This window comes from Homo sapiens, chromosome 14, assembly GCF_000001405.40.
Source record: "Homo sapiens chromosome 14, GRCh38.p14 Primary Assembly".
In the NCBI taxonomy this organism is placed as follows: Eukaryota; Metazoa; Chordata; class Mammalia; order Primates; family Hominidae; genus Homo; species Homo sapiens.
In genome coordinates, this window is record NC_000014.9 from 77423771 (window position 1) to 77438232 (window position 14462).

Consider the following 14462-nt stretch of genomic DNA (forward strand, 5'->3'; position numbering starts at 1 on the left):
TTAGCACTACTTGAGTTAGTTTACAACTCCTTCTTTTTGTGTTCAAGAAACCAATAAAATTTTTTCAGGTGAAATCCACATAACATAAAATTAGCCATTTTAAAGTGAACAATTCATCAGTACATTCAGAATGTTGTGCCACCACCTCTATCTTGTTGCAAAATACTTTCATATTCCCAAAAGGAACGCCTACACCCATTAAGCAGTTACTCCCTATCCCTCCCCACCCTCAGCCTCTGGAACCACCAATCTGCTTTCTGTCTGAATGGATTTACCTATTCCAGATATTTTATATAAATGGAATCATACAATATGTGACCTTTTGTGTCTGGCTTCTCTAATCCCTTTTATAGGAAGGCTGTTATATGACGACACCATCTCTTTAAAAGCAAAGTCTCACCCTGGCGTGGTGGCTCACGCCTGTAATCGCAGCACTTTGGGAGGCCGAGGCAGGCGGATCGCTTGAGGTCAGGAGTTTGACCAGCCTGACTAACACGGTGAAACCCCATCTCTACTAAAAAGCTGGGCATGGTGGCAGCTACTTATTAGCTGGGTGTGGTGGCACGTCTGTAATCTCAGCTACTCAGGAGGCTGAGGCAGGAGAATTGCTTGAACCTGGGAGATGGACGTTGGTTGCAGTGAGCTGAGATTGCGCCATTGTACTCCAGCCTGGGCGGCAGAGGGAGACTCCATCTCAAAAAAATAAAAAATAAAATAAAGTAAAAGCAAAGTCTCTGCACTTGAAATGAGGGGCATGGACGTTCTCATCAAACCTAAGAAACATTTTCTTACACCAAAACAGTCAGTAGGTCATCCTAATGTTGCCAAGTAATGCTTCCTGCTCCGAAGGAAAAAGAAGCTCAAAACCTAGATTAGCATGACCAATGCAGCATACAAGTTGTACAGACATGAATTCTAGGCCTATCCTTTACTTATGCATTCTCAAAAGTGGGGATCAGTTGTTATATTTTGTATTATGTCACCTTGGCTAGGCTGAACTGCAATTTCCAGAATGTCCTTCCCTGTATGTTTCCAGTTAAGGTGGACCACCAGAGATATTTCTATGCAAGATCAGGAGGGTGGAAATGAACAGTAACCAGTCTGTGTTTCAGTGTGCATAATCAGGGGAAGTACTTTTGTAGTTCACACATGTTGTTGTTTATCTGCTGAGTACCTTGTTGGTGAGGGGCAACAGTTGGGCCTGTAACTGCTACATCTTCCCTGGTTCCTTCTTCAGTTGCTCACTCCTGGGCCAGGTGTTTTTCATTTCCATGACAAAGGCCACTAGCTTTTCCAGCAGCGGGACACCCACCTCATCAAGGTTTGAGGCTGTGAGAACTGACATGGGTCCCAGTCCCTTCTCATGGTTTCTAGCTTGTCCCTGCTCACTCACTTTATAATGATCTTCCCTTCTTCACGGCCTTCCCTATGGATTTCAAGCTCTACCACTGGACATGAAGACAACTACGTTAAACACACCCTCCAGCTGCCATACTTGAGTGGAAGTACTCAAACAGAAAAGACAGGCTCTACTCCTCGGTACTTCTCATCCAATTTCTCTAAACAGGTCAGAGAAAGGTCAAAATTCTCTAACAAACAGCAGATATAGATTAGATTAGATTAGATTAGATAATGCATATATATGCCTAGTGGTTCTGCTTCTCTAAATGAACCCTAACCAATATACTAGTTAATAAAGTAACCACTGTTTGTTTGAAGATGAACCAATAATTTTAGTACAATCTAGCAAATTAAACTCTTGTTTCTTCAATAGCAAGAAGGATGATCAAGAAAGGAACTAAATATGAGGTTACCTGGAATTGCAAAGTGGAGGAGCAAAAGATGGAGTCTGATCCCCTTAAAGCAGTTTCTCAACACTGGTGTTGCTAACATGTGGGCAGGATAATCCTTTGTTGTGGGGCTGTCCTGTGGATTGTAGGGCGTTTAGCAGCGTCCCTGACCTCTACCCACTGGATGCCAGTAGCACGCCTAGTGTGGCAACAGAAAGCAACTTCGAACATTGCCAAATGTCTCTTGAGGGGCAAAACTGCCTCCAGTTGAGAGCCATATTGCCTTAAGGCATGGCATGTGCCTCTGTAGGAGCATCTTCTCTTTGCCTTCTATGACTTCACCCACTCCACAGTCACAGGAGCACAGAACTCTACAAAATGTTAGCTGGGTGTGGTGGCACGTGCCTGTAGTCCCAGCTACTCAGGAGGCTGAAGCAGGAAGATTGCTTGAGTCTGGGATGTCAAGGCTGCAGTGAGCCATGACGGTGCCGCTGCACTCCAGCCTGGGTGACAGACCATGTCTATTTAAAAAAACAGGCCGGGTGCGGTGGCTCATGCCTATAATCCCAGCACTTTGGGAGGCCAAGGCAGGCGGATCAACTGAGGTCAGGAGTTTGAGACCAGCCTGGCCAACATGGCGAAACCCTGTCTCTACTAAAAATACAAAAATTAGCTGGGCGTGGTGGCAGGTGCCTGTAATCCCAGCTACTTGGGAGGCTGAGGCAGGAGAATCATCTGAACCTGGGAGGTGGAGGTTGCAGTGAGCTGAGAGCGCCACTGCACTCCAGCCTGGGCGACAGAGCGAGACACCATCTCACAAACAAACAAACTCTACAAAATTTTAGATTATCTAATGAATCCAGAGAAAGAAAGGGACTCACCCAGCATCACATAACTATTTAGTGGTAGAGCTGGAAAAAGTCAGGTCTTGTGTCTCCCAGCACCGTGCTGTTTCTGTTAACCACACAGCCCTGCTTTGCCATAGCACTGTTACTCTATAACCTGACATGTGCCGACAGGCTGCTAAATGCAGTCACTGAGGAAGACTTGTAATGATCCTAAGATCCTGAGCAATTATTTCATCATTCTACACAAAACCACCAGGAGCGGGAGAGAAGGCACCAAGGAAGAAATACCTTTATTAGGAGTCTAGGCATGTCAGAAAAACCCAGTTCAGTCACAGAAAAGGAGGCAAATATTGGTACAGAGCAAGAATCCAAGTGTGAAAATAAAACCTCCATCTAAATATCCTAACAGAAATGCTGCTGAATTTAGCCCAGGTGAAACTTCTGAAAGCTCCTGGTGAAATGAGATTTTTGCATAAAGAGAGAGCTCTCCAGCACTGCTGCATCTGAGCTTCTTATAAAGTGACGGGTCTTGGCCAGCAGTAGAGGAAGAGATAAAGGGGATGTCTCATCACCCAAGCAAGGTCGTCTGTGTTCAAGTGAGAGAAGAACCTTAGGGTTTTGGACAGAGTAAACTGGGGCAGCAGAGGGAAAATGGCTGAGGAAACACAACGTCTAGGCCATGTGTGGCATAATGTGGAGGGGTCTGTGCAGTCTGGTGTGAGTGCATCTCCAGGAGGTCTTGGGAAACACTGGCATTCCTTCCTGAGGCCATTTTGGTTCTGTTCTGACTTCATTCAGAGCAGAACTGCCAATGTCCAGCGCCAAGTCCTGGATCATAATTAGCTGAGTGGAATGCAGTAGCCACCCTATGACTCCCATACCTCTTCCTTTCTGGAGCAGTCACTTTTCTCAGACCAAGTGAGATCTTACCCAGTAGGGGCCCAATCTAGAAATCACTCCCACCTTCATATGAGCACCAGGTGGAGAGAATCATTCTCATGACTCAAAGCTTTAGATCTCGATCCTCAGATGATGTTCCTTGGACAGAAGATCAGTCTGAAGTTATCTGTGTCAAGAGTAGCTGGCACTGCCCATGGGTAATGGGCCCAAGCGATGTGATGCCGCAGCTCTCCCAAAGAAGAGCTCTCTCTGCTTTCACAGGCAGGAGAGGAGGAAATGAGGCAGGCTTCAAGGTAGTCAATGCCACTTAATTCTTCCATCGAATTTGCTGTGGAAAGAGGAAACAATGAAAGTGTGTGATCAGTTTTCACTTATCCCTACAGCAAGGCAGAGAAAATGCAACAAAACAAGGCTCAGCTAGATAATGTAAGGAAAAGAAAAAGTAGAATCAGATCAGGAGGTGGGGGATGTTGAGAAATTTTTTAAAATATATGGGGGAGTTCATTTATTCAAAGATGCATTAAACACCTATTTTGTATTTTACAAGCCTAATTTTGGTCATTTGACCCTAAGGTAGGTTCCAAAATACCTAACAGGGAACTAACTTTCATATTAACAAAGAGCTCAGTAATTTCCTGCTGTGAGAGACGAACCAGCTGTGCTCCCCAGGTAGCTAACATCTATTTCACCCACTTCTTATTTTCAACTGGTAGGTCCCATCCATCCCCACGAGACCATACAGTTTGGATATTCTGAATCTGTAACATGTTTTCATACTTTCAATATTTAGTTTCTCCTACATGCTAGGTTTAACTATTATCACAGCATTACAGTTAAGTCTTAGCTTGAGGTCCCCAGATTACCCCCCTATCATACCGCATCTCAGGAGTAATTTCTGCTATTCAAAGCAGTGCTTTTGACATTGTGGCCAGAGGAGAGCCTTACATCCATGTGGCTTAGCCAACTGCAATCCTTCCAGACCTTGGGAACATACATTTGGTACTATTTTGTGAACTGTCTGTCTCCTGAGCCTGCTGGAGGGGTGAACTGTAGCTGCTCACCGAGCTGCTGAGAAGAGCATCAATCTTCTCCTCCTCTGCTGATCCTTTATCTACCTTACTCCTGTATGCTAGCAACTGTTGACGATCCTTCAGGTCCCGGTAGGTCTGTGCATCAAAACAAACAATACAAACCTCCAATCAGCCTCTGTACAGGGTTCTTTTTGCCCAGGATGGTCTCAAACTCCTGGGCTCAAGCAATCCTCTCTCCTTAGGCTCCTGAGTAGCTGGAACTACTGGTGTGTGCTACTGTGTACACATGAGGGCTTATTTCTTTTTGTCATTATCACTTTGACCCAACGCTCAAGGAGAGGCTAAGAGGCTATAGTGGGATAACAGTGGGGTCCAGTGCCCACAGAACTCCATGTTGGAGAGAAGACTACACAGCTTGTATAGCTTGATTTAGTTCTATGAATTCTCCAAGTACGACAAGTTTATAAAAACACAGAGAAAGCAGTCAGAGGGCTGGGAAAATAATACAGGAGTGCTGGTCTCCAAACAAACTCTTGCCAGATTATTCTGTCCATTCAGTCAAACCTGGTGGGAGCACCTCAGGATCTTGGACAGAGAATATTATAATCCCCACCCTGCTTCGCCACTGAGGATCTAACGGAGGACTCCCATTTCTTGGGGACTCACATCAATGACGACATCATGGCACTTGAACTTAGTGGCTAAGTTCAACTTCGTGTCCACATCTTCCACCAGATTGACATACTCCTGTAATATCTGTGGGAAGAGGTACTTCCGATTAATGATTCAAACACCCATAAGGCACAGAGCTCTACAAGGTAGAAAAGAAAGTCCTGAAGAAGGCAAAAGAGTTCAATAGCTAATGTTTCCAGTTTCCATCATCAACCACAGGACTAGTTCTGCAATGGGAATGAGGTAACGCTACACAGTACTTCCATGCTGCCTCAGTAAGCAGGAAAGAGCACACTTCTCCTGATCCTCGAGCCAGATACACATGCCAGCAATGAGTGCTCTAGCTGTGATCCAGTGCTCTGCTCATTTCTCCCTGATGTCTTTTCTCCACGAGTTCTCCTTTTCTATCATTTGAACAGTACATCAGTATTCCACTTGGGCTAACACAGTAGATGCTACTCAGAGAGGACAGTTTGGAATTGTTTCTAAAGGGGAGAAAGGGAGAGAATTTCACTCCCTGGCCTTTTCTGTCTTGAGGCCTATTGCAGCCATTGTGCTGCCTTTAAGGGAAAACAAGAGCAGATCGGGTCTCCCATCACTGACCAGTAAGAGGCTTAAAGTTAGGTCTCCAAGAATATCCTGTACCCAACTCTCTTCAGGACCCATTACCTGCACAGGGGCATTGTTCTTGTGCAAAATTTCGACAACCCGATGGAAGCCAATGGGTGCTCTCTTCTTGGTATAGCCCAGCCAGTTCTGAAAGAGGAAGATGGGGTAGCGGCAGGTAGGCCAGGCACACTCAACACATTCTAGGTTAGTCTATGTTTTACGATCAGACCAGAATAATGTGGTGGGTGAGTGGGGGTGCTGAGGGATACAGAAATAATGAGAAATGAATTTTTCAGAAAAATCAAGGGATTTGAGAGAGTGGAAATGAATCAGGTTTGAAATAACTTCTTAGATCTATAGAAACGAATGCAGGGAAAAGTCTTGAAATACTACTAAATGGGATAAGTAACTTACTTAATATTTGTAGTATGAACTTATCAATGTAGAAAATAATTCCATCTTCCATATCTTTGTAAGTACAGATGTTTATTTGCAAATTCATGAGGGAAGGTCTGGAAAGCTACCCATTAAACTTTTAACAGTGTTTGCCTTGAGAAAGGGGGTGAGATAGGAGTAGGTAGAAAATGAAAAAGGAACTTCACTCTTTCTATACTTTAATACAGTGTTTGATTTTGACAACAGACACATATTGCTTTGTTAATATAACTAATTAAATAATTAACAAATAGGAAAAACAGAAAATTTTTAAACCCATAATGGAAAAACAGATATTTAAAACGTAAACTAATTCATATTGAACCGCCAAAGATCCCACATAGCCAAAGCAATCAATGTTAAAGAAAAACAAAATGGAGGCCAGGTGCGGTGGCTCATGTCTGTAATCCCAGCACTTTTGGAGGCCGAGGTGGGCGGATCACTTGAGGCCAGGAGTTCGAGACCAGCCTGGCCAACATGGTGAAACCCCATCTTTACTAAAAATACAAAAATTAGCCGGGCAGGGTGGCGCATGCCTTTAATCCCAGCTACTCGGGAGGTTGAGGCAGGAGATTCAGTGGAACCCTGGAGGCAGAGGTTGCAGTGAGCTGAGATTGCACCACTGCACTCCAGCCTGGGTGACAGAGCAAGACTCTGTCTCAAAAAAGAAAAAAAAAAAAAAAGGGGGGGTAGGGGTAGGAGGCAACATGCTTCATGATTTCAAATTATATTACAAAGTTACATATATTAATCAAAACAGTACGGGGCTGGCATAAAAACAAACACATAGACCAGTGGAATAGAATAGAGAGCCTAGAAATAAACCCAAGCATATATGGTCAGCTAATTTTCAACAAAAGCACCAAGAGGACCCAATGGGGAAAGGATAGTCTCTTCAATGAGTGGTGCTGGGAAAACTGGATTTCCACATGCAAAAGAATGAAATTAGACCTTTATCTTACACCATACACAAAAATCAACTCAAAATGGATAATATACCTAAGCATAAGACCTGAAGCCATAAAACTCATAGAAGAAAACATGGGAAAAAGCTCCTTGACATTGGCCTTGGCAATGATTTTTTTGGATATCACACCAAAGGCTCAGGCTACAAAAGCAAAAATAAATGGGATTACATCAAACTAAAAAGCTGCGCATGGCAAAGGAAACAATCAAAATGAAAGGCAGCCTATGGATTAGAATATTTGTAAACCACATATCTGATAAGGGATTAGTATCTAAAACATATAAAGAACTCACACAATGCAATAGCAGAAACAAAAATTGCCAGATTTAAAAATGGGCAAAAGACTTGAATGGACATTTCTCCAAAGAAGACATGGAAATGGCCAAGAAGTACATGAAAAGGTGATCAGTATCACTAAACATCAGGGAAATGCAAATCAAAACTATAATAAGATATCACCTCACACCTGTTAAGATGACTGTTATCAAAAAGACAAATGATGTGTTAGCAAGGGTGTGGGGAAAGGGAACTCTTGTACCCTGTCGGTGGGAATGTAGATTGGTGTAGCCAATGTGGAAAACAGGCTGCAGTGAGCTACGGTCATGCCACTGCACTTCAGCCTGGGTGACAGAGTGAGACCCTCTCTCAAAAAAGTAAAAATAAAAATAAAAATAGAACTATCATATGACCCAGTAATCAATCTTTCTTTTGGGTATATGCCCAAAATAAATGAAATCATCACCTCATAAAGATACTTGCATTTCCACATTCATTGTAACACTATTCATGAGATGTTAACTATTCATGAAATGTAACTATTATAAATTATTGCTGAGAATTTAAATATCTGTAACTTACAAAAATAATAAACAAATAAATAATTCCCTCTCCCTAAAAAATAGCCAAGATAAGGAAACAACTTAAGTGTCCATTGACAAACAAATGGATACAGAAACTATGGAACTATGGTATATATATACATACATGCTGGAATATTAGCTTTAGAGATCTAATTACAAGATGAGGACTGTAGTTAATAGTACTGTACTGTAATCAGGAGTTTTGCTAAATGAGTAGATTTTAGCTGTTTTTGCCACAAAAAAATAATTTGAGATGATAGATATGTTAATTTGCTTCACTGTAGTAACCATTTTACTCTCTACATGTATCTCATAACATCTTATCGTATAACTTAAGTATATACAATATATAATAACATTTATCTTAAAAAAAGAAGAAAGATAACAAGTGTTGGCAAGGGTATAGAGAAAAGGGACCCTGGTACACTGTTGTCGGTGGGAATGTAAATTAGTGCAGCCATCATGAAAAACAGTATAGGCGTTCCTCAAAAATGTTTAAACAGAACTACTATATGATCCAGCAATCCCACTATTGCATATAAATCCAAAGGAAATGCAATCAGCATCTCACAGAGACATCTACACTCCCATGTTTATTGTGGCATTATTCACAAGAGCCAAGATATGGAAACAACCTAAGTGTCCATTGATGGATGAGTGGATAAAGAAATTGTGGTACATATATACAATGGAATATATTCAGAACTTAAAAAATAAGGAGATCCTGACATGTGACAGCATGGATGAACCTGGAGGACATTATGCTAAGTGAAATAAGCCAGACAGAAAGGAAAATAACCTCATGATCTCACTCATGTAGGATCTAAAAAAGTCAAACACATAGAAAGTAGTTTCCAGAGGGGGAAAAAAGTAGGTCAAAGGATACAAAGTTGTAGTTATGCAGGATGAATAAATCTAGAAATCTAATGTACAGCATGAGGAATACAGTTAATAATAGTGTAGTGTATACTGGAAATTTGCTAAGAGAGTGAATTTTAGGGGTTCTTACCACACTCACAAAAAATGGCTAACTGTGAGATGATGGGTTAATTGGCATGACTGTATAATCATTTCACTATGTATATGTAGATCAAAACATTATGTTGTACCTTAAATATATACAATAAAAATTAATTTAAAAAAAGGTAAATCAGTAAAGACATGACAACCAAACTCAATCCAAGGTCTTTGATTGGATCCTGATAGAAAAAAATACAGAAGCAAACCAAAAGTAGCTATAAATAACTAATTTAAATATGGACCATGATTAAATATGTATTATTATATTAATGTTAAATTTTTTTAGTGATAATTATATTGTGCTTCTTTTTTTTTGAGACAGGGTTTTGCTCTTGTTGCCCAGGCTGGAGTGCAATGGTGCAATCTTGGCTCACTGCAACCTCCGCCTCCTGGATTCAAGCAATTCTCTCGCCTCAGCCTCCTGAGTAGCTGGGATTACAGGTGCACACCACCACACCCAGCTAATTTTTGTATTTTCAGTAGAGACGGGGTTTCACCATGTTGGCCAGGATGGTCTCAAACTCCTGACCTCAGGTGATCCACCCGCCTCGGCCTCCCAAAGTGCTGGGATTATAGGCGTGAGCCACCGCGCCCAGCCCAATATTGTGCTTACGTAGTATTAAAGGAGAGGTGTTAAGATGTCTACAACTTACTTTCAAATGATTCAGAAAAGAAAAACACATAGGTATAGAAAAAGAGAAAGCATACATGGCAAAATTGTTAATAAATTAGTGATGTGGATAAAGACTATTATACTATTATAGTATATATTTGATTATTATATGAACTATAAAATTCATTCTTTCAACTTTTCTTTAGGTTTGAAATTTTGGAAAATAAAAAGTTGGAGGAAAAATGTAAACCGGTAACTAGAACTTATAACATGATAGAACCCTTCTGTCTCCCAAGGCCTCAGCAGCACAGGGGCAGGGCACACACCTTTGTGGTGAATAGGGCATCTACATCATTCCAGGCTCGAAGCTTGGCACGAGCAGCCAGGGCTGTCAGCACATACTGTTTATCTGGGATCTGGAAAGCAGAGACCGAGAAAAATTAAGGGGAAGTAGAAATACATCAATGGGGGTGCTTAAGAATTTTAGAAAAGACAGACATTAAATATTTCCTGATATTGACTCTGCCCCTTAAAAATCAAAAAATTTCTCAGTTCAAGAACTTCTTAATTCCCAAGCCCCAGCACTGCTATAGGCCATTCAGTCTTCTCTCACTTTCCCAAACTCATTCCTTTCCACCTTTAACCTTGAATATCAAAGGACACACTGTACAGGGTTACAAAGCAACATCCACTCCATGTAGTTACCCTGATCACTAGTTTCATAACACTGACCAATTTGTATCTACCTTAAATGTCTTCTTCAGGTTGACGGGACTGCTGAATGTCCCCTAGGATGAAAGTGAAAAAGGAACTTTAGTGATATTGACTTTCCCAAGTACCACCCAAGCTCTCATTTTCTTTCCCACTACAGAGACTTTCTACATCTTACTCTGCTGCCATTTAAACATAGAAATTAATTTCAGGGAAAAGCTCCATTGGGAATAGTCAGATACCACTATAAGCTGGCTTATCAAGAACTGGAGTAATAAGTATGGTGCCTTTTCCCATTTTCTGCTAATCCAAATAAGGAGAAAATGTCTGCCTGTTATCATGGAATCCATACTTCTTTGAAAAATTTAGAAAGAAAAAAAGAGTAGCCAGGCGCGGTGGCTCTCACCTATAATCCCAGCACTTTGGGAGGCTGAGGCAGGTGGATCACGAGGTCAGGAGTTCAACACCAGCCTGGCCAACATGGTGAAACCCTGTCTCTACTAAAAATACAAAAAAAAAAAAATTAGCGGGGAGTGGTGGCGCACACCTGTGATCCCAGCTACTCAGGAGGCTGAGGCAGGAGAATTGCTTGAACCCAGGAGGCGGAGGTTACAGTGAGCCAAGATCGCACCACTGCACTCCAGCCTGGGCGACAGAGCAAGACTCCATCTCAGAGAAAAAAAAAAAAAAAGTATCCATAGCTACTTGCCACCCTACTGCTTTTCTCCACATCATGCTAATCCATTTGATATTGTGGACCTTTGAACAGAGACTTCTACAGGTAACAGCACCAGGGACAGAACTTGCTATGCTAGCATGCCAGCTCACTTGAAGCTACAAACCTTACAAACCTCTTTTCCCTCCTGGCCAGATGAGGCCCTCTTACCCCTGGTGAGGGCCAGGAAAGCTTCCAGGTGGATTTCTGAGAACTATACATACCCATTATTAATAGAGTACATAAAAGTACTGGATTTGAACTATCTTCTTTTTGTGCAATGAGAGTTTGTGGAATCTTCCATATTTTGCCTGTACCTCAGCCTCTGTGTAGTGATAGAAGCAGGAGTAGAAAAGTGTTGTCACTAGTGGCATGTTGAGGATGGAGGCTTTGCGGGGGTGCTTTCGGAAGATCTCAGTCTGTCCTGCTGATTCTAGATGGCGATCATTTGCCTGTGGTGGAGTGAGCCAAGTGAAAAAAAAAAAAAACAATGTCCATGGAGTAGAGGCAGGAGAAAAATCTTTTAATACTACAGCAGTTGTGTTTCCCACCCTAGGAGAGAAACAAAGAACAGAAAAAGAAAGAAATTGCCTAGGATATCCCCAGAGTAGTTTAAAATCCATCAAATGATCATGAATCCACATTGGATGGAAACAAATAGAAGTGGGGAGGACATGGGAGATTCGGGATGAAGAAGAAATACTTCCAGGTTAACAGCTGGTAAGAGGAAAAAGGATCCTAAAAACAATGGAGGAAGGGGGCTATTGTGTACAGGCAGAAAATGAAAGGCTTTTAGAAACCAGTAAGAAATGACCCACGTGCAGAGCATAGAAATCTCCTAGATGCTGAACGGCACTGAGCCTTGGCACTGAAGCAAAAGATATAGAGATGAAGAGTCTAACCTCAATAATGATCTGACGTTCCAGGAGCGTGTAATGGTCCTGTATGTGTGCGGAATCTTCTGCTGAAAATGGCAAACTGGTAGAGTGCCAGAAGGTTAGTACCTTTCTCTATTCAAACAAGGAAACAAACCCAACTAAACCAAATCGCCAGCATAAGTATAAGAGGCTCACGGTGCCTCACAAGTCTGATCTCAGTTCACCTTTAGAGCGTCCCTTAAAGAAAGACATCGCATGAATGGCGTGAATTTCATATTAAAGGTTTTGCCAATTCAAGAGGGATCCTGAGAGTCCACAAAATACTTATAGTCACTCATAATTTTGCTGATAAATGAATTAGAATCCTCTCATTTTGAGAGTTGGAATATTTGGTGAATGAGTCACAAAGCTAATGAGTGAGCCTAGGCAACTGCCCATCATCCACATCCCAGTGAAATTCTGTGGCTTGTGCTTAACTTACTGAGGGGACACCTAGATTTGTTAGCCATTTTTTTATGGCAGAGTACAAAAGGTAAATTAAATTACATGCCATGGTGGTATGTTTATAGATCAGCAAATATCACAAATGTCAAGGGTCCCATCTTCAACACTGCATTATGTTTTTTGTTTGTCTGCTTGTTTTGAGATGGAGTTTCTCTGTGTCACCCAGGCTGGAGTGCAGTGGCATGATCTTGGCTCACTACAACCTCCACCTCCTGAGTTCAAGCAATTCTCCTGCCTCAGCCTCCAGAGTAGCTGGGACTACAGGCGTATGCTGCCACGCCCAGCTTATTTTTGTATTTTTAGTAGAGACAGGGTTTCACCATGTTCGCCAGGACGGTCTTGATCTCCTAACCTCGTGATCCACCTGCCTCAACCTCCCAAGGCGCTGGGATTACAGGCGTGAGCTGCTGCGCCCGGCCACATTATTGTTATACATGAAGATGCTGAGGGACAGCGTCTTGCCAAAAAGTCATGTGGTCAATGGGGAAGGCCAAGAATAGAAGCCAGATTTTAAATGCCCAGTTCACAGATATATCTTTTAGAAAGTGCTGCATTATTCCCCATACTCTGCTCACTCCAGGAAGAATTCTGAGTTTTAATTACACTATTCCAGATAAGTTTTAGCCATAGTGAATTTTTAGAAGAGATAAAGAGAGATGCTATAAATTCTAGTTACTTCACTATTTTAACTTTTCTCCTTGTTTTCCAGAGGCCATATAACATATCTCAGTATTTGGTAACATTAAATGGATTTCACTGATATAATCAAATTTCTAAACATGAAGCCGGGAAATCATGTCACATGAGGAATGGTTGAAACAACCATGAGTACTGAACCTGAAGAAGCAAGGACTACTGGGTAGACTCTACACCTGTCTTGAAAGATACAGGGAAGCAAATTTCAGCTTAACGTAAGGAAGCACTTTCCAATAACGAAGGTTGTTCAAAAACAAACTGAGCTGTTTCAAGAGCAACGGGCATCCTGTCACAGGAATATGTGGAGCTGGGTTTTGCAATAAGTTAAATTCTGGATGAAAGCTTGCCCTGGATCAGTGGTTCTTGGACTTTGGGGTTTCAAGGACCAGTAACACTGAAAAAATGCATCAGGTCCCTAAAGTATTGCTATCTTTTTATTACCTAAGGTCATAAAAAAAGGTACAGCTCATTTTAGTACCAAAGAAGAAGAGAAGAGTGAGGACAAAATCCTACAATAAAAGATAACCTTTCAAATTAAATAAATTTAGCTTTAGGAAAAAAAATCTCTCTACATTTGTCTTTTTTTTTCCTCAGTTTACCATCAAGCAGTGGAAACTCTGCTGGGGACTAGTGTGTGAACACCACTGCATGAGGTGACCCTGAATGATGCTGGTATGATTCATTGTTAGCCCTCCCCTTCCTGCCTATCCATTCCACCCTTTTTAATTTTCTTCATTCCTTCTGGGTAAAGGTATTTATACTTAAAATCATTTTTCCCCCATACTTACCCAACACAGGTTTTAAGAAATTCTTTTCGTTTGTCAGGGTCCTGAATGTTCAAATGCTCTCGATAATGAGATAGCTACAAAAAGCAGAAAAAGGCTTTGAGGTATTTTGTCTCCTTAGATGAGGGAGATAGCTGATTAACTGAACTTCCCATGCTTTAAAAAAACAAATTCTTCATTTCTGGGTATAGATGGTTATTGGAGGCGGGTGGGGGGATAGGCAAAGAGTGACTAAGTATCATTAGTAGGTTTATCTATAACTGCACTGTACGATACAATAGCCACTAGCTACAACTGTTTCTTTAAATTTAAATTAATTAATGTAAAAATTCACCTCCTTAGTTAACACTAACCACTTTTAAAGAACTCAACAGCTACATGTGACTAGGAGCTACTATATTGGACAACACAAATATGGAAAATTTTTT

The 14462-nt window shown here is 41.5% G+C and overlaps 2 protein-coding genes across 23 annotated transcripts in view; both read right to left on the reverse strand.

The window, feature by feature from the left end:
* The window catches only part of NOXRED1 (NADP dependent oxidoreductase domain containing 1), a 31993-nt gene extending 29750 nt beyond the window's left edge, over positions 1-2243 (reverse strand). Inside the window, exon 1 of one of the 2 annotated variants that reach the window (XM_011536429.4) lies at positions 1815-2243. In XM_011536429.4, the coding sequence (XP_011534731.1) occupies positions 1815-1893 (79 nt within the window). In that variant the 5' untranslated portion in view covers positions 1894-2243. Of the gene's footprint in view, positions 1-400; positions 436-1814 lie in introns of those variants that run through there. The other variant, XM_011536428.4, reaches the window with a different exon arrangement.
* Positions 2905-14462, reverse strand: part of VIPAS39 (VPS33B interacting protein, apical-basolateral polarity regulator, spe-39 homolog) — a 30927-nt gene continuing 19369 nt past the window's right edge. For 12 of the 21 annotated variants that reach the window (NM_001400337.1, NM_001193316.2, NM_001400333.1 and 9 more), the window contains 9 exons: positions 14038-14111; positions 12074-12149; positions 11489-11623; positions 10492-10533; positions 10072-10161; positions 5911-5997; positions 5236-5325; positions 4600-4704; positions 2905-3866 (listed from right to left, as the gene is read on the reverse strand). In NM_001400337.1, the coding sequence (NP_001387266.1) occupies positions 3846-3866; positions 4600-4704; positions 5236-5325; positions 5911-5997; positions 10072-10161; positions 10492-10533; positions 11489-11623; positions 12074-12149; positions 14038-14111 (720 nt within the window). In that variant the 3' untranslated portion in view covers positions 2905-3845. Of the gene's footprint in view, positions 3867-4599; positions 4705-5235; positions 5326-5910; positions 5998-6319; positions 6400-10071; positions 10162-10491; positions 10534-11395; positions 11624-12073; positions 12150-14037; positions 14112-14462 lie in introns of those variants that run through there. The other 9 variants (NM_001400330.1, NM_001400332.1, NM_001400331.1 and 6 more) reach the window with 7 other exon arrangements.